This window comes from Homo sapiens, chromosome 17 (genome assembly GCF_000001405.40).
Source record: "Homo sapiens chromosome 17, GRCh38.p14 Primary Assembly".
Taxonomy (NCBI): Eukaryota; Metazoa; Chordata; class Mammalia; order Primates; family Hominidae; genus Homo; species Homo sapiens.
In genome coordinates this window covers 35,958,949-35,981,686 of record NC_000017.11, presented here as the reverse complement: position 1 = coordinate 35,981,686, position 22,738 = coordinate 35,958,949, and the positions used below count along the sequence as shown (strand labels likewise).

The 22,738-nt window shown below is 44.4% G+C and overlaps 1 protein-coding gene across 1 annotated transcript, besides 1 other annotated feature; it reads left to right on the top strand.

The window, feature by feature from the left end:
- Positions 1 to 189: 189 nt before the first annotated feature.
- On the top strand, positions 190 to 5,188 carry CCL16 (C-C motif chemokine ligand 16). The gene is made up of 3 exons (NM_004590.4): positions 190 to 342; positions 3,424 to 3,544; positions 3,956 to 5,188. Exons 1-3 carry the CDS (start codon positions 267 to 269, stop codon positions 4,119 to 4,121), a joined length of 363 nt encoding a protein of 120 aa, NP_004581.1. The 5' UTR covers positions 190 to 266; the 3' UTR covers positions 4,122 to 5,188.
- Positions 20,470 to 20,688: a silencer, noted in NCBI's record as "fragment chr17:34288003-34288221 (GRCh37/hg19 assembly coordinates)". NCBI's record gives its function as "represses an EF-1alpha promoter that drives an FKBP-Casp9 reporter gene in an ReSE screen in K562 erythroleukemia cells {active_cell/tissue: K562}" and the evidence as "EXISTENCE:reporter gene assay evidence [ECO:0000049][PMID:32094911]".

The following is a 22,738-nucleotide window of genomic DNA, read 5'->3' as shown; positions in this document are numbered from 1 at the left end:
TTATATAAGATAGGGCATGTAAGGTAGCTGACACACATTCGCCCATTTCTTCACGTGAATTCAGATTCTACTGAATTCAGCTCTGCACCAAGTCCCATCCTCTGCTGCCCTCTGTTTCAGCAAACACTGAGGCCTGTTGTTTCTCCTCCTCTACCGGCTCTGATGCGGTCAAGGTCCAGAGAGCTGAGTAGTTGGCAAGCGGACCACCAGCAACAGACAACATCTTCATTCGGCTCTCCCTGAAGCTGTACTGCCTCGCTGAGAGGATGAAGGTCTCCGAGGCTGCCCTGTCTCTCCTTGTCCTCATCCTTATCATTACTTCGGCTTCTCGCAGCCAGCCAAGTGAGTCCACTTGTCTCTGTAGGGCAGGAACGAGAAAGGGGGATGGAGCAGCTGGCAGGGAGGTAGTGCCAAGGGCGCTGTCGGGTCTCTGGCCTCATAAGACCCTGTGGGCTCTCCCCACCTTCATGCATAGCTTCTGACCTCCAATTCTCCCCTTTGTAAGTAGAGCTGGGGTTGGTCCGGATCTTTCTGGGGTAAGTAGTTCCAGGAAACTGGGTCACCATTTCCTCAGGAGTCCCAAGCGTGGTGAGCAGGAATGATCATTCAGGAGGAGAGGCCAAGAAAGCAGCAGAAAATGCAACAAGAAGTGCATGCAATGAAAGGGAGGGGGAGGCACGCGGATGAGAAAGAAAAGTGGCAGGTGCCCTGGAAGAATGAGTGGCGAGAGGAAGGAAGGTTCAAACAATCATGTGGGTCTAAGTCCAGGAATTGGGAGTCTGAACCGAGAGAGCCCTTCCTCAACATGGCTGGCACAGGTTGCTGGGACTATCAGACAACCAAAATGAGTCCCAGTGGAATGGCTGCTTGGGAATCTATGGTCCCCTTCTCCATCCCCCAGCCTATGACTAAATAAAATCTGCAGAAAAGAGGAAAGGGGTTGAAAGGTTTTGGAGCTGTGGGGAAAGGGAGAATTGGGGCCTATGGAGGAGGGGGTTTGTTTTGCCCCTCCGTATCTCCTCCCTCTATCATTGTTTACGAGGACCTGGTGACGGGGGTGGGGAGGACAAAGACGTGTACCTGCCCTAGGCTGCCCCAGCCATTCTTTTCGCTTTTGTTTTTTTGTTTGTTTGCTTGTTGTGTTTTGTTTTGTTTTGTTTTGTTTGTGATGGAGTTTCGCTCTTGTTGCCCAGGTTGGAGCGCAGTGTCGCGATCTCGGCTCACCACAACCTCCGCCTCCCGAGTTCAAGTGATTCTCCTGCCTCAGCCTCCTGAGTAGCTGGGATCACAGGCACACACCACCACGCCCAGCTAATTTTTGTATTTTTAGTAGAGACGGGGTTTCACCATGTTGGTCAGGCTGGTCTCAAACTCCTGACCTCGTGATCTGCCCACCTCGGCCTCCCAAAGTGCTAGGATTACAGGTATGAGCCACCATGCCTGGCCTCTTTTCTCTCTTAAGGTCACCCTGGCATGTAGTCTGGCCTGACTCTGCCTGTGTAAACACAAAGGAGCAAGGGTCAAGTGCACCATGTAATCTGCCCACATACTCTCAGGATGACCCTGGTCTTTGTAAACTTTGCTTTGAGAACCAGTGATATGAGCATCACTTACAGAGGGACTGTGTGGGAGGGGGGAACAGTGCTCTTTGGGAGAGTCAATCAGGCCAGTGCAGTGGGTTCAGGCTTCAAGAAAGAGAAAATGGCCCACCCAAAGCATGGATCAGCAAGATGGTGCTCTCAAGATGTCCCAAGCTTTGCCACTCACTGGAGGCAAAGGGGTCAAGCTACAAAAAGATTTGCACTCTGAAGGTTTGGGGGCTGGGAGAGATCTCTGGACTGACCTCTTGTGTAGTATCCCCAATTGATGGGTAGTCAGGACAGCTCAAAGGAAACACAGTGACAATAACCAATCAAGTCCAGTATCCTGCATACATCAAAGAGATGGGGGGAAGCGCCATTTCCAAGGCAAGAAGAGCAGTCATTACTACCATTGGCTCTTAATTATAATAAGCACTGATTGAGCCTTTCTGTGTGCCAGGCTCTGAGTTAAGGGCTTTCCAATCATTTTCTCACCGAATTCTAACCATGATCCTAGGATACAAGTAAGTATCATTTACCCCCACTTAATAGATGAGGAAACTGAAACCTAGGGAGATTAAGAAATTTGCCCATGATTCAAGTCAAAATTCAAATCAAGTCAAAATTCCAACCCAAGCTGTCTGACCCCAAAGCCTAAATCATATACTTTTTCCTCCTGCTCTAACTTCTGTCTCTAAAGGCTCTACTCTCTCACCCTTCCCCCTAACCTCCGCCTCTCCAATACCTCTAAGATAGAGTCCAAATTCCTCAGTAGCTCAGCAGGTATGTGACCAGACCCTCCTCCTCTCTCCAGTTTCATCTCTGCCCATTCATTTCTTCCTACCTTGCATGCCAGCCACCCAAACTGCCCAGCACTCCCAAGACACACTGAGCTTCCCCTACCTTCAGGCTTTCCTGCATTTCTTTCTTCCAGATTCTACAAGTCCTTTGTGTGTCTAAATCCTTTTTTTTTTTTCTTTTGAGATGGAGTCACTCTTTCGCCCAGGCTGGGGTGCAGTGGCGCAATCTTGGCTCATTGCAACCTCTGACTCCCGGGTTTAAGTGATTCTCCTGCCTCAGCCTCCCGAATAGCTGGGATTACAGGCATGTGCCACCATGCCTGGCTAATTTTTGTTAGTAGAGACGGGGTTTCACCATGTTGGCCAGGCTGGTCTCAAACTTCTGACCTCAGGTGATCCGCCCGCCTCGGCCTCCCAAAGTGCTGGGATTACAGGCATGAGCCACCACACCCAGCCGTGTGTCTAAATCCTACTCATCCTTTACGAATCAATGCAGGCCTCACTTGCTTTGAGACTTCTTCCTCAACCACCAAGGATGGGTTAGGGGCCCTTCATTCTGTTCCCATAGCACCTTATGCCAAAGTCTGTTCTATCCTGGACCACATTCTGTGGTAGTGTTTGTTTAACTTTTCAATTTCTCTTTCAACCCTGACTAGTCTGTAAGTTACTTAAGGGTAGTGACTGTATCTTCCTCATGTTTTTACCCCCATAGAGCCCAGCATATAATACTAGCTCAACACATGTTTGCCCGATCAAGTCACCAATAAACAAAAGAATGAGCCAGCTTCCTCCCGGTTCCTTGGCAAGTGTGAATAACTAAGTCATTTGTAGTTGACACTCAGCTCAGAGGCTGAGGGTTCTAAATGTATGTCCCCCAAAGGGATTCATCTTATGCACTTCATTACCAGTCAAGCTATCATTGGTCTCCTCTAACAGACGGCTTTGCTATCAGAGGAGTGAAACACAAATGGTGGGAGACAGAGGTGGGCAGCTGTGGTCTCCCCTCTGCTTCCCTGGCTCAGCTTGCAATGTGATTCCTTCAGAAGTTCCTGAGTGGGTGAACACCCCATCCACCTGCTGCCTGAAGTATTATGAGAAAGTGTTGCCAAGGAGACTAGTGGTGGGATACAGAAAGGCCCTCAACTGTCACCTGCCAGCAATCATGTAAGCACGTCCTTTTAGATATTTCTGTGGAGAGGGACAGGGAGCCCAGGGGCAGGAATGAGATACATGGGATCAAGAGGTCTCCATGCTAGAAGCAGTGGAGCAGTGGCTAAGGGTTTGGCCTTTGGCTCTCAGGGGCCTGGGATTAATTCCTAATTTTGCCACTTTTAGCTATGTGGTTCATTATGAAACCCAAGCTTGAGGGTCTAGGCTGAGTGGAGAAGGGACTGAGAGAAGGGATGGTAAGGTTCTGAGGCCAGAGAGAGAGGCTGTCTGAGGGAACCCAGCCAGGACAGGCCCAGGGAAGCTTTAAAGAACATAAGGTGAGCTCCATGTGAACCAGAGGTGGGGGTGGGCACCGGACTCCTGCCCGAGTCTGCAGCCCATGACGGTCTAATTCTGCCTCTGCAGCTTCGTCACCAAGAGGAACCGAGAAGTCTGCACCAACCCCAATGACGACTGGGTCCAAGAGTACATCAAGGATCCCAACCTACCTTTGCTGCCTACCAGGAACTTGTCCACGGTTAAAATTATTACAGCAAAGAATGGTCAACCCCAGCTCCTCAACTCCCAGTGATGACCAGGCTTTAGTGGAAGCCCTTGTTTACAGAAGAGAGGGGTAAACCTATGAAAACAGGGGAAGCCTTATTAGGCTGAAACTAGCCAGTCACATTGAGAGAAGCAGAACAATGATCAAAATAAAGGAGAAGTATTTCGAATATTTTCTCAATCTTAGGAGGAAATACCAAAGTTAAGGGACGTGGGCAGAGGTACGCTCTTTTATTTTTATATTTATATTTTTATTTTTTTGAGATAGGGTCTTACTCTGTCACCCAGGCTGGAGTGCAGTGGTGTGATCTTGGCTCACTTGATCTTGGCTCACTGTAACCTCCACCTCCCAGGCTCAAGTGATCCTCCCACCCCAGCCTCCCGAGTAGCTGGGACTACAGGCTTGCGCCACCACACCTGGCTAATTTTTGTATTTTTGGTAGAGACGGGATTCTACCATGTTGCCCAGGCTGGTCTCAAACTCGTGTGCCCAAGCAATCCACCTGCCTCAGCCTTCCAAAAGTGCTGGGATTACAGGCGTGAGCCACCACATCCGGCCAGTGCACTCTTAATACACAGAAAAATATATTTCACATCCTTCTCCTGCTCTCTTTCAATTCCTCACTTCACACCAGTACACAAGCCATTCTAAATACTTAGCCAGTTTCCAGCCTTCCAGATGATCTTTGCCCTCTGGGTCTTGACCCATTAAGAGCCCCATAGAACTCTTGATTTTTCCTGTCCATCTTTATGGATTTTTCTGGATCTATATTTTCTTCAATTATTCTTTCATTTTATAATGCAACTTTTTCATAGGAAGTCCGGATGGGAATATTCACATTAATCATTTTTGCAGAGACTTTGCTAGATCCTCTCATATTTTGTCTTCCTCAGGGTGGCAGGGGTACAGAGAGTGCCTGATTGGAAAAAAAAAAAAAAGAGAGAGAGAGAGAAGAAGAAGAAGAAGAGACACAAATCTCTACCTCCCATGTTAAGCTTTGCAGGACAGGGAAAGAAAGGGTATGAGACACGGCTAGGGGTAAACTCTTAGTCCAAAACCCAAACATGCAATAAATAAAACTCCCTTATTTGACAGCTTGATTCCTAACCTCCTGCTTTTTTTTCTGCTAGGGTGAAAGAAGCTTAATCTCAGTTTTTTTCAGGGGCTTCTCCACATTTCTTGAGACTTTTGTCAAGGTTGGGGGCCATTTATATTCAATCTTCCCCTCTGTCTCCAGCTTAACAGCAGACAGCTGACTCAGCTCGCTTGGATTCAACATTCTCCCAAAACGCTGTTGTGAAGACAAAACAAAAGCCAGGTAATTAAGACCGGATGGTTAAGACAGGTAATTAAGACCGGATGGTTAAGAGAAACAAATAAATGCAGTGAAGTGTCAAGCTGAAAACGGGCCAATGAATTGGATTCTGGTAAACTGACTCATAACTGCCCCCCAGTGGCCATGTTGTTAAAACCCGAGCCTCCTCCCTTGGCCGGCGCGGTGGCTCACGCCTGTAATCCCAGCACTTTGGGAGGCCGAGGGGGGCAGATCACGAGCTCAGGAGATCGAGCCCATCCTGGCTAACACGGTGAAACCCTGTCTCTACTAAAAATACAAAAAAATTAGCCGGGCGTGGTGGCGGGCGCCTGTAGTCCCAGCTACTCGGGAGGCTGAGGCAGGAGAATGGCATGAACCCAGGAGGCGGAGCTTGCAGTGAGCCGAGTTCGTGCCACTGCACTCCAGCCTGGGCGACAGAGAGAGACTCTTGTCTCAAAAAAAAAAAAAAAAAAAAAACGAGCTGCCTCCCCAGCCCAAGCTCATCTTCCCAGGATGGCCATCTCATCTAGCTGGCCAATCAGACTCTCAGAGAGATTTGAAATTTGGACCTGAGAAACTCAGTCTGGTTGCTGCTAGAGCAGAAGTGAGTTTCTGGCAGTGTCCCAAGGAAAGAGGTCTATGAACTTCTGTCCTGAGGTCCCTGGAACTGCCTCACTTCCTGCCCCAGCTCCAGGCTGGGAGCTTCAGCTGGTCTTTCAGTTCCATGAGATGTCCCAGCATCTTTCCTTTAAAAAAATTTCTAGGCCAGGCGCGATGGCTCACACTTGTAATCCCAGTTCTTTGGGAGGCCAAGGCGGGCAGATCACTTGAGGCCAGGAGTCTTGAGACCAGCCTGGACAACATGGCCCATCTCTACTAAAAATACAAAAATTAGCTGAGCATGGTGGTGGTCGCCTGTAATCCCAACCACTCAGATGGCTGAGGCATGAGAATCGCTTGAACCCAGGAGGCAGAGGTTGCAGTGAGCTGAGATCATGCCACTACACTCCAGCCTGGGCAACAGAGCGAGACTCCATCTCAATTTAAAAAAAAAATTCCTAAAGGGCCATGGTGGCAATTTAGCACCTCAGGAATAACTTATTGGTTTAGGTCAGTTCTTGGCGGGGGATGATGGATGTATGTGTGTTAAAATAGACATAACAGGGGCTGGGCAAGGTGGCTAACGCCTGTAATCCCAGCACTTCCAGAGTCTGAGGTGGGCGGATCACTTGAGGCCAGGAGTTCGAGACCAGCCTGGGCAGCATGGCGAAACCCCACTTCTACCAAAAATACAAAAAAAAAAAAAAAATTAGCCGAGCATGGTGGCCTGGGCCTATGGTCCCAGCTGCTCAGGAGGCTGAGGCAGGAGGATCCCTTGAGCTGGGGAGTCAGCTGAAATCGTGCCACTGCACTCCAGCCTGGGTGACAGAATGAGACCCTGTCTCAAAAAACATGTGTGTGTGTGTGTGTGTGTGTGTGTGTGTGTGTGTACACACATAACAAGGCCATGCACAGTGGCTTATGCCTATAAACCCAGCACTTTGGGAGGCTGAAGCAGGAGGATCATTTGAGTCCAGGAATTTGAGATCAGCCTGGGCGGTATGGTGAGATCTTACATATTTTTTAATCTCTACAAAAAAAAAACAATTAACTGGGCACGGTGGTGTGTGCCTGTGGTCACAGGTACTCAGAAGGCTGAGGTAGGAGGATTGCTTGAGCCCAGGAGGTTGAGACTGCACTGCAGTGAGCCATAATATCACCACTGCACTCCAGGCTGGATGACAGAGCAAGACTCTGCCTAAAAATACATATATATATATAGGTGTGTGTGTGTGTGTGTATGTGTGTATGTGTGTGTGTATATATATATATATATATATAGACAAAATTTACCATTCTAAACATTTTTATGTGTACAATCCTACATTCACTTTGTTAGGCAAACATCACCACTATCCATCTCCAGACTTTTCTCATTGTCCCAACCTGAGACTCTGTACCCATTAAATGCTAACTCACCATTCTCTCCTCCCCCAGCCTCTGGTAACCACTATTCTTCTTTCTGTCACTATGAATTTGACAGCTCTAGGTATTTCATGTAAGGGGAATCACATAGCATTTGTCCTTTTGTGACTAGCTTATTTCACCAGCATAGTGTCGTCAAGGTTCATCCAAGTTGTAGCATGCTTCAGAACGTTATTCCTGTTAGTCATTAGGCTAACATTCCATTGTATGTATCTGCCACATTTCGTTTATCCAGCTAATCTGCTGATGGACGTGTGGGTATCTCTCTTTTCTTGCTAGCCAGAGTTTGCAGATCTTGGTTTCTGTCACTTGCACCAAAAGCACCTGAACTTGGGCAACAACCCATCAATCACCCGGGCATTGACTCAGAGGAGCCCCATGTGCTTGCTGCTCTTGCTCCTCCACAGAGGCAGTGCTACCTGCTTTGGTCCCTCCCTGGACTGTGAGTCCCTGCTCCTTGATCCAGGAATTTCTCTCCACCCTCCTTGCTATCAGGGGTTACAGCTAAATATGATCAAACTCCTTCCTCCAGGAGCTCCCAGCCTGGGGATGACAGAATCAATAACATACAATGTAGTCAGGCCCAGACCTTTGCTTGCAGAGGCCAAAGCAAACATGGGGGTGGGAGTGAGGCCGGCAGGGCCTAGGTTGACAGAAAAGTCAGGACAACATCAGATGCGGCAAGAAGTTTCAAAGTCCTTAGCCAGCACCAGGGTCAAAGCCAGGGAGTCAGAGTTCAAAGGCCTAAAAAACAGGACAAGGCTAAAAACAGGAAGCTCAGGGCCGGGGTTCTGGCAAGCTGGAACAGAATGTCGTTGTCTTGTGTTTTGTTTTGTTTTGTTTTTAAATTCAGGAGCACTGAGGTGTCAGTCTGAAAACCTGAGTAATCGAGAGTCTATATACACAAAGTCAAATCCCCACCCTAGCACATAATAAAAAGCCTGCCAGAAACTTCTGATGGTTCAGAACTGGAAGAGCTTTTCTCACGTGCATTCAGTTGCTTTTCAAGAAGGATATTCCCAGTCTTTTCAAGGCAGGCAGATAGATGGCTGACCTTAAACACACACAAATACAGAAAGGACTTCGGTCATTCTGATATACAGAGTTTTCCAGCTGTGGTCATCCTAAAGCAAATAAACCTTTTCTTGAACAACTTGTATGACTGACCTTTTGCCTTGTAGAATACAGGTGGCTGGGTACATGGGGGAACCAACTGGAACAGGAAGGGAAGAAAATGAGAGAACAACTCTGGATACTACAAAGAGCATTTTACTGGGAGTCACAGAGGACGGCTCGCATGTCCTCTTTCTACACAGCCGTCTTAGACACCATGAATCCTTGAAGCAGATGACCAGATGTCCTGCGGCTGGTTTCAGCAGGCCTGTTTGAAATATTATTAGTCTTTCTCGGATGGGCCGCATGAACACATATTTTCTTCCCATGAGAGCATACATGTGCTTGCACGTGTGAGAGCAACTATTGAGAGTCATCAGCAGCCTGAGCTGGCACTTGGGGACACAGCTGATGCAATGGTTTAAAAGCACTGTCTCCAAGCCAGGTGCAGTGGTGCATGCCTATAGTCCCAGTAACTCAGGAGGCTGAGGCAGGAGGATCACTTGAGCCCAGGAGTTCGAGGCTGTCATGTGCCATGATTATGCCTGTGAATAGCCACTGCACTCCAGCCTGGGCGACATAGCAAGAAGACCCCATATCTTTTATTTAAAAACAAAAAGAGTATTATCTCCACACTCAGACTCTGACAGACCATCTATGTTTGAGTCCCAACTCTGTCACTCACTGTGAGGTCTTGGGTAACTACTAATCCTCCTAAGCCTTGGTTTCCTCATCTGTAAAATAGATCAATTATGATACCTACCCCCCAGTGTTGAAAGGATGAAAAGGCAATGTGAGAGAGTGCTTAGCAGATAAGTGCTCAATAGGCCTTATTGTTCCAGAATCTGACTTTTTTCTAGGACCACAGAACATAAGACAGAAAGGAGCTTTCTGTCATTATGAAGATAAGGGAATTAAAGGCCAGAGATGGAAAGCGATTTAGCAAAGGTCATGCTACAAATTACAGAAGATCTGGCACTAGAACTGGAGGCTATACTTTAAAAAGAAGAAACCTCTGATCTACACAAGCCTGAGGCTGGTATGAATATATGAAAGATTGGGGTCATCTGACTAAAGAAGCAATAGTTCAAAGCCTGAGACCTCCTTTTGCATGACCTGGTCTCCCTGGAGAGCCTGGCCTCCATTCATGTATCTTTGATTCTCGCCAAGGAGACTTTGAAGAAGGAATGGGCAAATGCAGAAAGGGACCTCAAATCTCTCCAGAGCCTGGTATTTATGAGCCCAGTTTCCTCTTCTGCAAAATGGCGCTGATACCTTACAGGGCTGCTGTGACAACTGCCAGCTTCTGGTACAGGATCTGGAACAAACATCATAATAAAATGGAAAACAGTATTAATCTCTTAGCAGCTAAAGCAGGAATTCCTATCATGGAGGAAATAACCTTTGTTAAGAAAATGAATTGGCAACCCTGGTTAAGGAAGGACACTCCCCCAGGACATGGAGCTGAGACTTCACAGGAAGGGCTGAAGTTGTTCCAAGCAAACCAGGAGAAACAGCTTTGCCCCTGAGAGCCAGAGGGGAGGGAGACAGAGGGCTGGAGAAGGGGATAGAGGCTGTGCAATGAGCGGCAGGACTGCCCTCCTTCCTGGAGTCCTCAAAAGTGCCATCAATTATTTTGCTTCCTGGCCGGCGCAGTGGCTCTTGTTTGTAACCCCAGCACTTTGAGAGGCCGAGGTGGGAGGATCACCTGAGGTCAGGAGCTTGAGACCATCCTGGCCAACATGGTGAAACCCCATCTCTACTAAAAATACAAAAATTAGCTGGGCGTGGTGGTGCATGCCTGTAATTCCAGCTACTCAGGAGGCTGAGGCAGGAGAATCCCTTGAACCCAGGTGCTGGAGCTTGCAGCAAGCCGAGATCATGTCACTGCACTCCAGCCTGGGTGACAGACCGAGACTCCATCTCGAAAAAAAAAAAAAATGGAGATGGAAACACCAACAATTACAGGTTATTGGGAGAATTACACTGGTTAACATAAGTAAAGTGCCTAGTATTGGACCTGGCTCACAGCAGAGATTGGGTGCTTATGGGTTCCCTTGCCAGAGAAACGCTGCTTCTGTCTTGCAAGTTCTTGCTGGAAGAGGCAAGACAGAGTCAGGTGACACTTATCGGTTCCCACAACTACAACACAAATGCTGATGGAAAAGGAATCATGTAATGAGCAAAAGAATCAAGAAATCACTTGAATCAAGAAACAGTTATTTCCACCCCTAGCACACACTCAGAACTTCCCCCTCGCTCCTCCCTTGCATTCTGATCAAAAAATGAGTCTTAGCCGGGCGCAGTGGTTCACACCTGTAATTCCAGAGCTTTGGGAAGCCGAAGTGGGCAGATCACCTGAGGTCAGGAGTTCAAGACCAGCCTGACCAACATGGAGAAAACCTCTCTCTACTAAAAATACAAAATTAGCCAGGCATGGTGGCACATGCCTCTAATCCCAGCTACTCAGGAGGCTGAGGCAGAAGAATTGCTTGAACCCGGGAGGTGGAGGTTGCGGTGAGCCACGGTCGCACCATTGCACTCCAGTAGCCTGGGCAACAAGAGTGAAACTCTGTCTCAAAAAAAAAAAAAAAAAAGTTCAAAGAGATAGTAAAAAACCATAGTAATTTTTTGCTTTACTGCAGTTTTCAAAGATACATTTTTTTTCATAATGTGGCACCTCTTCAATGTTGGCAGAATTGTCTTTTGCAGGGAATTCCAGGAGACTGCAGATAACTAATTACCATGAGAAGGTAGTCATAAATATGGTTAATGTCTAACTGGTCAGGACTCTTAACATCAGTTTCAGTCAACTTGCTACAGCAAATGTAATCTTCCTATGAAGTCTCTTAAGTTCTCCATCTCTATTTAGCCAGGAGGTGGAGCTTGCCGTGAGCCAAGATTGCACCACTGCACTTGAAACTCTGTCTCCAAAGAAAAAAAAAAAACAAGGAATCCTCCCTGTCCCCTCCAGATCATATGCGTGAGGTTTCTCATCCGAGCCACAGAACACAGACAACTTGTGACTGCTTTCTCAGTTCTCCTAGGATGATGCATAACCAACACCACTCTGGATGCACAGGAGGGAGGTTAACCCATTACATCTACTGCTTATCTTAAGCCAGTTCAAAAAGCCTGTCTCAGGGCAGGGGCCACGTCTTCGAATTTACCCTGTTCCCATCCAGGGCCCTTTGTACCTGGGGGGCCTCACTAAATGTCTAATCATGAATTTCACACTTAGGCATGGGGGCAGGGGTTGGAAGTCAATGTGATAGGGCCCCTTGGCTGTGAGTGAGGGGATCAGTGCAGGGATGTGTCTCCACCGAGATGGCAGTTTAAGCCAGGTCCTGGAGTGTGGATTTAGGTCTTGGAGTTCTGGATTGAGTTGCTGAAAAGCAATTGCTGTCTTGACATGATTTTAGGAAAATTAGTGAGCAGCGCCACCCAGTGGTTAAAAGCCACAATGACTTATCTCTCTGTGAGCTCATTGGGCTGGCTCGTACATAAGCCTAGTTGCTGAGATAGCCCCTTCCTGGTGTGCACACCTTCCACCTTCCCACCTCTCCTTGTATTCTCCCCTTTTGAAGAGAGCTGAGGTATTCAGTACACAGTGAGGGCACAGTGCTTTCAAGGAGCTTTCCTTCCCACTAAAAGTGGGAAGAGAGACCACGCACAAACATACACATCATCAGGTTCTATAACGAAGAATAGAGCAGAGTAAAAGTGATGGCGAGGAGTACACAAAACACCTTTGTACTGTTTGATAGGACCCACCAAGAAGAACAATTTTCTTTGGGAGGCAGAGGTGGGTGGTTCATCTGAGGTCAGGAGTTTGAGACCAGCCTGACCAACATGTATACAACATGGTGAAACCCTGTCTCCACTAAAAATACAAAAATTAGCTGGGCATGGTGGTGGGTGCCTGTAATCCTAGCTACTTGGGAGGCTGAGGCAGGAGAATCGCTTGAGCCTGGGAGGCAGAGGTTGCAGTGAGCCGAGATCGTGCCATTGCACTCCATCCTGGGCAACAGAACAAGACTCCCTCTGGAAAAAAAAATTAATAAGAATCTGATGATTAAAGTTCATATTAAACTTGTCGCTTCCAGCATGGGAAACTGAGCCCCTCACACACTTAACAAACGGACCATTCTGCAAGTCAAAGCCATCAACTCTAGACAAAAATTTAAAATATAACTGAGAACTTGGGTGACTACACAAAAATGGACAGATGTCAGAGGCACACTGAAAACTGGAACCAGCAACAGGCATTTAGGGAGTTCCTATTTTTTGTGGCCTTGGCCTAAGGGTTGGCTAAACCTAACAGAAAGTTTGTGGGCTGGGCACAGTGGCTCATACCTGAAATCCCAACACTTTGAAAGACCGAGGTGGGAGGATCACCTGAGGTCAGGAGTTTGTGACCAGTCTGGCCAATATGGTAAAACCCCGTGTCTACTAAAAATACAAACATTAGGCCGGGCGCAGTGGCTCACGCCTGTAATCCCAGCACTTTGGAAGGCTGAGGCGGGCAGATCATGAGGTCAGGAGATAGAAACCATCCTGGCCAACATGTTGAAACCCCGTCTCTACTAAAAAAAAAAACACAAAAATTAGCTAGGCGTGGTGGCATATGCCTGTAATCCCAGCTACTCAGGAGGCTGAGGCAGGAGAATCACTTGAACCCAGGAGGCGGAGGTTGCAGTGAGCGGAGATCATGCCACTGTACTCCAGCCTGGCGACAGAGCGAGACTCCATCTCAAAAAAAAAGAAAAAAGAAAAAATTAGCCAGGTGTGATGTCTCTACTAAAAATACAGAATTAATTGGGCCTGGTGGTGCATACCTGCAATCCCAGCTACCCAGGAAGCTGAGAGATGAGAATCATTTGAACCTGGGAGGCAGAGGCTGCAGTGAGCCAAGATTGCACCATTGCACTCTAGCCTGGGTGATGGAGTGCAATGGAGGGAAACTCTGTCTCAGAAAAAAAAAAGAAAGAAAGAGAGAAAGAAAAGAAAGAAAGAGAGAGAGAGAAAGAAAGAAAGACGGAAGGAAGGAAAGAAAGAAAAAAAGAAATTACCATTACCCGGCTTTCCTCCACATACAGGAGTTAGTCCTGTGTAGCAAATAGTTGTAGTTTGCATTTTGATCTAGCCATAACTGTTTCATTTTTCAGAATTCTCAGTGAAAATTCTTTGAATTACGTAAGAATTCATTTGAAGGCCTGCTATCCCTCCAGGATTTGTAAGTTAGTTAGTTAATCATATTTACGAGTTTACAAGCTTTTAGTCATATTATTATTATTATTATTTTTTTTTGAGACGGAGTCTCGCTCTGTCGCCCAGTCTGGAGTGCAGTGACGCGATCTCAGCTCACTACAAGCTCCGTCTTCCAGGTTCACGCCATTCTCCTGCCTCAACCTCCCGAGTAGCTGGGACTATAGGCGCCCGCCACCACGCCCAGCTAATTTTTTGTATTTTTAGTAGAGACGGGGTTTCACCATGTTAGTCAGCATGGTCTCGATCTTCTGACCTCGTGATCCGCCTGCCTCAGCCTCCCAAAGTGCTGAGATTACAGGCGTGAGCCACGGCGCCCGGCCTTTAGTCATATTATCTGTAAAATTAATAAGGGATTTATATTAAATAATCTCTAAGATTTCTTCCAGCAATAAAATTCTGCAATTCTGTAAGTTTCTACAGGGTCTCCACCCATCTCTAGCATTAACTACCTCCTATGCATTTTCAATTTTTAAACTATATAGACAAAATACGGAGAAATATTTCACATGGTAATAAGATCTGAGCAGTGACTGACACCCATATGAACCTTGTTTTATAAAAAGTGTTCACGTACCATCTTCTTATATTCACTCTACAACCAATAGAGCAAATCTAATTTATGGTCTATTTTTAAATAGCCCATTAAGAATGGTTTTTACATTTTTGAAGAACTGTGATAGAAAAAGCAAAGAAACAAAAAGAAATAAGCAACAGAGACCACATGTGGCCCACAAAGCCTAAAATATTTACTATCTGACCTTCCCAAAAAAAGATTTGAAAAAGTTGGTTTAGTAAAATGAAAGGAATTAAAGTTAACTCCGGATTGTTGCCTAAAGGAGAAGAAAATACAGACCACCCACATTAATTTCAACATCATTAATCCAGAATTTTTTGGTAATTTAATCTGAATTAAATTAACATTTAAATATTAAATAGGCCAGTCCCAGTGGCTCATGCCTATAATCCCAGCACTTTTGGAGCCAAGGCAGGTGGATCAGAGGTCAAGAGTTGGAGACCAGCCTGGCCAACATGGTGAAACCCCATCTCTACTAAAAATACAAAAATTAGCCAGGTATGGTGGTGCGTGCCTATAATCCCAGCTACTCAGGAAGTTGAGGCAGGAGAATTGCTTGAATTTGGGAGGCGGAGGTTGTAGTGAGCTAAGATCGTGCCACTGCACTCCAGCCTGGACAACAGAGTGAGACTGTGTCGCAAAATATAATAATAATAAAATAAATAAATAAATATTGAAGATTAAGCAGCTGAAATACATAAATAATATTAACGCTACCAAGAGAATAGACTGGTATTGAGGATTTCATTTCAGGAATTGTTATATTAAAACAGATGTTTAAAATGATGGTTAAGTGGTAGAGCTAGAAATGTTTACACTAAGTAAGCACATATCAGAAATGCCCCAACTCTTCACTAATTACAAAATAACTAACTTGGTAACCAGCCCTGTTACCAAAGAAGGGATACCTGCATAGTATTTCTGTCTGTTTAGAGATAAAAAGAGACTATGTTTATTGCTATCAAAGCTTGATTTTTATCCTCTGTCCATGGTCCAGGGTCATGTATGTCATTAATCCTTATTAAGCTTCTTAGTGATGCTCTTTTGCAAACAATATAAGCAGTACAGGTGCAAAGACAGTGAGTGAAGGCCTGCTTTCTGCCCGACTGCTTAACATGTTTAAGATCTTTTAAACCATCCGAGCTTTTAAAGTCTGCTTCTCTTAACAATACACCTACTAGATTTTTAAAAATACCATCCATGAACTTAAAGGAATTACTATTCTCATTGGTGTTTTTAAAGAAACAAACAAGCCTCTCTATACTGCTTTCTTCAGAACTGATTTTCAACTGATATATACGGGTGTAGCCATATTGGTTGCTAAATACCGAAATATGTTCTTACTGGTTGGTAAAGAGCCGCCGTTGTAAGCTCTCTGCATGCCCGCCACAGCCTCGCCTTTCCAACAGGCACTTCATTGCTGTACCTCCCCACAATCCAATAATTAAAAGGTTATCCCGAGGCATAGCAGGAGGCCTTTAGGACCCTTCTTCTTCACTAGGCTTGCATCCATACTGATTGCTGGTGCTTGGGTCATCCCTTCCATGTAACAATTTTGAATATCACCCTGACTTTCTGACTAATAGAGTAAATCGTTACTATCTTATCAATGTTTGTGTTCTGCAATCTAGAGTATCAAATAGCTCTAGCTCACCTGTGTTACTTATCTGTATAGAATCAACATTCAGAGTTGCATTATTTCTGAATAAGCCCAGGATGCCATCATACTGTAACTCAGTCTCCTAAACCACACTGCATTTTTTTCTCTATTTCTCTCAATGTTGACAGTGTGACCTAAGTTCTGTATTCTCTTGTTCCTCTCAGTTCGCTTTGCACCTCATAGGCCTCCAGATATCTCCTTGAAGCCTCTTCTCTTTGAAGTACCAGCATCACTACAGAGTCAGTGTCTGTCGGCCAAGATTGGGTTTTCCACGAAATAGATGCTCAACTTCAACGTTCAAATGCCAGCGTGAACCACGGAGTAGTGATTGTGGGAAACGCTGGATTCTGCAAAACTGCCACCATCTCCAGACTGGTGGCCCTCAGCTGCCATGGTACAAAGATGAGACAGATCACCTCAGACAGCCCACGTGCCTCCCCCAAATGTATATTTCCTTTTTAAATAACTCCCTGCTTCATTGGCACTGAAGTTTTTCTGACATATTTATATTAAGTCATACATCCTTTTATTTCCTGATCTGTAAAACCTGACTTCCACGTGAGGACCTTTTGTGTTTTTTGTTTTTTTGTTTTTTTTTTTTTTTTTTTGAAACGGAGTCTCGCTCTTTCGCCCAGGCTGGAGTGCAGTGGCGCGATCTCGGCTCACTGCAAGCTCCACCTCCTAGGTTCATGCCATTCTCCTGCCTCAGCCTCCCGAGTAGCTGGGACTACAGGCGCCCGCCACCATGCCTGGCTAATTTTTTTTTTTTGTATTTTTAGTAGAGATGGGGTTTCACTGTGTTAGCCAGGATGGTCTCAATCTCCTGACCTCACGATCTGCTGGCCTCAACCTCCCAAAGTGCTGGGATTACAGGCGTGAGACACCGCACCCAGCCCATGTGAGGACTATTAATTCAGAGGTGAAGACAGTAATTACCCACAAAATCAAATACCAGATAAAGGGGAATACAGTAGGAGGAGGAAGGGAAGAGCAGAAATAATACATGACATACGATCACTGAACTTCACCTCAACTCAAAATGTCACACATTACTTTAGGCTTTTGTTCCTGCCATCTCCCATATCCACCCCCCTGCAGTTATCCAGAACTCTATTCAGTGACCAAGGAATTTAATGTACCAGTTGAATGAAAGAAGTCTAAATTCACTCCTACTGGTAGGGAGTTAAATGAGGACTACTTTTTCCTATTCCTCCTTCTTTTCAATAGCTATTGGCCATCAAATAACAACTTCTAATATTTACTTTGGTATCCATTTTTAAAGTATGATCTTATTCATAAATATAGTCTATAATTTCTACTAGTAAGAATACATTTTCTAAATAACAAGAACAAATTGAATTTTTTTCAAAAAAATCTTCAACAGTTTTATTGAGCTATAATTCACATACCATGTAATTCACCCATTTAAAGTATTCAATTCAGCATTTTTAGTATAACTCACAGGGTTGTACAGCAATCACCGTAATCCAGCTTTAGACCATTTTCATCCCCCTAAAAGAAACTCATGCCTGTTAGCAGCCAATGCCCATTCTCCTCTTAACCCTCTATTTCTAGCCCTAGGTAACCACTAATTTACTTTCTGTCTCTACGGATTTTCCTATTCTGGACATTTCATATAAATAGAATCATACAAGATATGTTTTGTTTTGTTTTGTTACTAGCTTCTTTGACTTAGCATAACATTTTCAAGGGTTATCCCCGTTCTAGCATGTATCGGTATCTTATTTCTTTTTATTGCTGAGTAATAGTTATTGAGTGGGTATACTGTGTTTTATCTAGTCATCAGTTGGTGGGCATTTAGGTTGTTTCCACTTTTGGCTATTATGAATCATTCTTCTAAGAACATTTGTGTACACGTTTTTGGGTGGACACGTGTTTTTATTTCTCGTAGGTATAGTCTTAGGAGCAGTATTGCTGGATCATAGAACAAATGGAATTTAGTCATTTTTCCTTTAAAGTTTTATGATTATCTGATGCAACCATCTAAATCTTTTTGATCCAGATGTGGATGCCAACAGAGAGCTGCCACTCACACAGCCACCTTCAGCCCACTCATCTATCACCAGCGGAAGCTGCCCAGGAACTCTGGAAATGCGCAGGAGGCTATGCGAAGACTAGCCTCACAAGTATGATGGGATTCCCATGTTGGGGACATGGTAGTTCCATTTTAACATTAAGGAAGCAAAGATAGGGAGACCTTTGCCAAAGTGAACAAAAATACATAAAGGTACACCATGAAAGCGTGGAGGAAAGTTTCTCTTTCTTTACTATTCCTAGAAAAATATTATGTTGGGATCAGAACCTTAGAGTTGGAAAGACCCTTAGAAATAAAATCTTCTGGTGAATAAATAAAGAAGTTGAGACCCAAAGAAGTGGGTTGGTTGGTTTTGAGACGGAGTCTTGCTCTATTGCCCAGGCTGGAGTGCAGTGGTGCAATCTCGGTTCACTGCAACCTCTGTTTCCCAGGTTCAAATGATTCTCGTTCCTCAGCTTCCCTAGTAGCTGTAGATGGAACTACAGGTGCGTGCTACCATGCCAGACTAATTTTTTTTTTTTTTTTTGAGACGGAGTCTCGCTTTGTTGCCCAGGCTGGAGTGCAGTGGCACGATCTCGGCTCACTGCAAGCTTTGCCTCCCGGGTTCCTGCCATTCTCCTGCCTTAGCCTCCTGAGTAGCTGGGACTACAGGAGCCTGCCACCACAGCCGGCTAATTTTGTTTGTATTTTTTAGTAGAGACGGGGTTCCACCGTGTTAGCCAGGATGGTCTCGATCTCCTGACCTCGTGATCCATCCGCCTCGGCCTCCCAACATGCTGGGATTACAGGCGTGAGCCACAGCGCCTGGCCCCATCCCAGACTAATTTTTGTATTTTTAGTAGAGACGGGGTTTTGCCATGTCGGCCAGGGTGGTCTCAAACCCCTTACCACAGGTGATCTGCCCGCCTCGGCCTCCCAGAGTGCTGGGATTACAGGCATGAGCCACCGCGCCTGGCCAAAAGGGATATGTTTTACCCAACATCAGGGTATAAGTAATCAACAGTTTTTAATTTTCATTCCTAACTTAAAACTCTTCCTGCTATACTACACTGTCCATAATATCTTTTATACATTTGGGTTTGAAATTCATATTTTTCTCAAAATAACATAAGCACATAGAAAACCAAATAATGCTCAAAACCAGCAATTCTCTTCCTCTACCCCACCCATCTTCTCCCCAAAGGCAGCCACTTTCAACTCTTAAGGAAGTTTCTCTGATTTTCACCTCGATATTTCTAAATTCTACTTGTATACTGCTAAAACTTTTATTATTTTACATATTAACTATTGCTTCTTATTATAGATGATGGAAATTACAGCTCTTTTACCTTCCTTCTTCCTACCACCATCCCAACACAATTATTTCATGATTTTTGGCTGAACCATATTATAGTATTTTCAGTATTAATACTATGCAAATATAGTTCTCCCTGGAGCCAAGGGTAACATTTCCTTCTTGAACGACTTTGTTTTTCCTAGGGGTTTATGAAATGCCTCGTTTTAAAATTTGCTTATTTTTCTTCACATCATTGGCTAAGTCATTTCATAACCCTAATGTAGTTTTGTAAAATGTCTCTCAATACAATTTTCCACATTACCAGTTACGTTTTTTCTTTTTAACCTGGCAGGCATCCATCTTTTTTTTCTTTTTTCTTTTTTTTTTTTTTTCTTTTTTTGACAAGGAGTCCGGCTTTGTCGCCAGGCTGGAATGCAGTAGTGCGATCTCGGCTCACTGCAAACTCCACCTCCTGGGTTCAAGCGATGCTCCTGCCTCAGCCTCCCAAGTAGCTGGGACTATCACGCCCAGCTAATTTTTTTTTTTGTCTTTTTAGTAGAGATGGGGTTTCATGAGTCATCCGTCTTAGAGCCCTCCGTCGAGCTTAGTCTGGGCCTAGGACACTCTGAGGGCTTTCCACCTTGTTCTCCTGGAAGTTCCTGTCAGTTCTCTTCTGTGTTTCATCTATGTCATATTGTTTCTCGATTTGATTCTTCATTTTGGTGGAACATATCCTCCAGTAGCTTCCTAATAAAAAAATGCATAGGACGTAAGTTTTTTGAGACTTACTGTTTCTAAAAGCATCTTTTTTCTATGTTCATACTTGCTTATTTGTTTGACACAGTATATCATTCTAGGGTAAAAATTATTTTTTCTCAATTTTGAAGGCATTGTTCCATTGTCTTGAGCTTCCAATATTGCTATTAAATACTCTGGTACTATTCTTATTCCCAATCTTTTATATATACCTTGTTTTCTCTCCAGAAGCTTTTAGAATTTTTTTTTTTTTTTTTTTTTTTTTGAGACGGAGTCTTGCTCCGTCACCCAGGCTGGAGTGCAGTGGCGCGATCTTGGCTCACTGCAAGCTCCGCCTCCCAGGTTCACACCATTCTCCTGCCTCAGCCTCCTAAGTAGCTGGGACTACAGGCGCCCGCCACCACGCCCGGCTAATTTTTTTTGTATTTTTAGTAGAGACGGGGGTTTCACCGTGTTGGCCAGGATGGTCTCGATCTCCTGACCTCGTGATCCGCCCCCACCCCCAGCCTCCCAAAGTGCTGTGATTACAGGCGTGAGCCACCGCTCCCGGCCTAGAATCTTATTTTTATCACCATTGTTCTTGGGTCTTTTTTCATTTATTCTGTTGGTACGTAGCAAGCCCTGAGGATATTCTTTAATTCTGAGTAATGCTTTTGTATTATTTATGATAATTTCCTCACCACCCTTTCCTCTATTCTCTCCTTCTACAACTCGTATTAGTCAAAAATTAGATTTCTGGCTGGGCACGGTGGCTCATGCTTGTAATCCCAGCAGTTTGAGAGGCCAAGGTTGGTGGATCTTCTGAGGTCAGGAGTTTGAGAGCAGTCTGACCAACATGGCAAAACCCTGTCTCCAAAAAAATACAAAAATTAGCCAGGCGCAGTGGCAGGCGCCTGTAGTCCCAGCTTCTCAGGAGGCTGAGGCAGGAGAATCGTTTGAACCTGGGAGGCGGAGGCTGCAGTGATCCGAGTGGTTTCTCTAGGTTTTGAATCTGTTGCTACCCTGTGGGAATACACACAGAATTCACAAGACAAGGAGAACTTGGCTTCTGTCTACAGAAGAATTAATGTGTATTGTGGCTTAGTGCTACTTACATTATATTTGTTATATCATTTCTTCATTTTTACCTTAACCCTATGAGGTACATTATTATCTCATTTTACAGGGGAAGAAACAGTGGCTTCAGTGATTAATTTTTTCAACGTCATACTGTTAATAAATGTCAAAGCTAGGATTCAGAGTCAGTATTCTCCCCTATAAGGTGAATACTATTGTTATCCCCATTTTACAAATGAGGAAACAGAGGCTCTGAGATTAAATAACTTGCTTGAGACCATAAACTAGTACATGACTGAGTCAAGATTTAAACTGAGGCAGGCAGCCTCCAAGTCTATACTTTTAACCACTACGCGATGCTGCCTCTCTAGTGTGGCAGGAAGGATTTTTGTTTAGTGCTATTCTGGAAAATCCATCCATCATTGATTGTGGCTTCGAAGCAAGAAAGTTATAATGAAGGTGTACCTTTCAGTCATTTTGCTGACCTAAAGTTCTTTAAAAAAGGTTTTTATGCAACTAGAAGTTCCCAACACATTAAACAAGTTGTCACTGATTTACTGCTTAGATTAAGAAGCTAATATATCGAAATGAGCTCATTCTAGAAAATAGCTAATTTTAAGAAGAGTCACAGAGATACAAAAAGCAAAGGTTTTTATTTTCCCCCAAGGAAACCTATGTAAGAAAAAATTAAATGTCATCCTTGCCAAGAGACAAGTTCTGTACTATACTGGGGGGTGTCAAATGATCATGGTTCCCAAAATTGTTGCTGTCACTATTAAAGCTGTCAGCCAAAGAAGTAATCATTTCAGTAATCCTATAATATTAAGCATTTTAAACATAATGTGGAAAAGTAAGCCAGAAACACACACACATACATACACAGAAAATGAAGAACAATAATGAAGAACAAGATTTTATTTGTGTTGTGGCGATTTTTTTTTAAATATTTACATTTAGGAGAAATGAGATCCAAACTAAACAACAAATACCCCATAGATGATGTTTTATAAAATTTGTCTAGGGCTTTTCTCTAAAAATTAATACTGAAGTTTTATTTTCAGACCCAGATTTCATCTACATTTGGGATACTGAATATGGGAAAACAGCCTTGTTGTTCATCGTTAATTTCCATATTATTTTTATTTTCTACCTCTTCCACTGGAATGGGTCAGTGATTAAATGTTCACCACTGTATCCCCAGCTCCTACACAATGCATGGCACATAAATATTTGAATGAAGAAACTCTAGTCAATTCTCTGTACTGAGTAATCTTTCTAAAACATTTGCTTTTGCTACTTAAAGCCAGCAAATAGCTCCTCCTTGCCCTTGAATGAAATCCAAACTCTCTTCTTAAAATATTATATGAATTGTAATGAAAGGACCTTTGCTTTCGCCAGGACCAGATATTTTAGACCACATAATTCTTTGTGTGTGGGGGCGGGGGTGAGGGGGGCAAGGGCAAGGCAGATGTTGTCCTGTCTACTGTAGGATATTTAGAAGAACTATCCTTGATCTCTGTCTACTACCAATAGCACTGTCTC

What these genes read in the sequence shown, in the direction of transcription:
- CCL16 (NM_004590.4), top strand. Translation starts at nt 267, where the DNA reads ATGAAGGTCTCCGAGGCTGCCCTGTCTCTCCTTGTCCTCATCCTTATC. An exon ending in GGCTTCTCGCAGCCAGCCAA is followed by an intron (nt 343 to 3,423) that starts GTGAGTCCACTT and finishes TGATTCCTTCAG; the next exon opens with AAGTTCCTGAGTGGGTGAAC. An exon ending in TGTCACCTGCCAGCAATCAT is followed by an intron (nt 3,545 to 3,955) that starts GTAAGCACGTCC and finishes CTGCCTCTGCAG; the next exon opens with CTTCGTCACCAAGAGGAACC.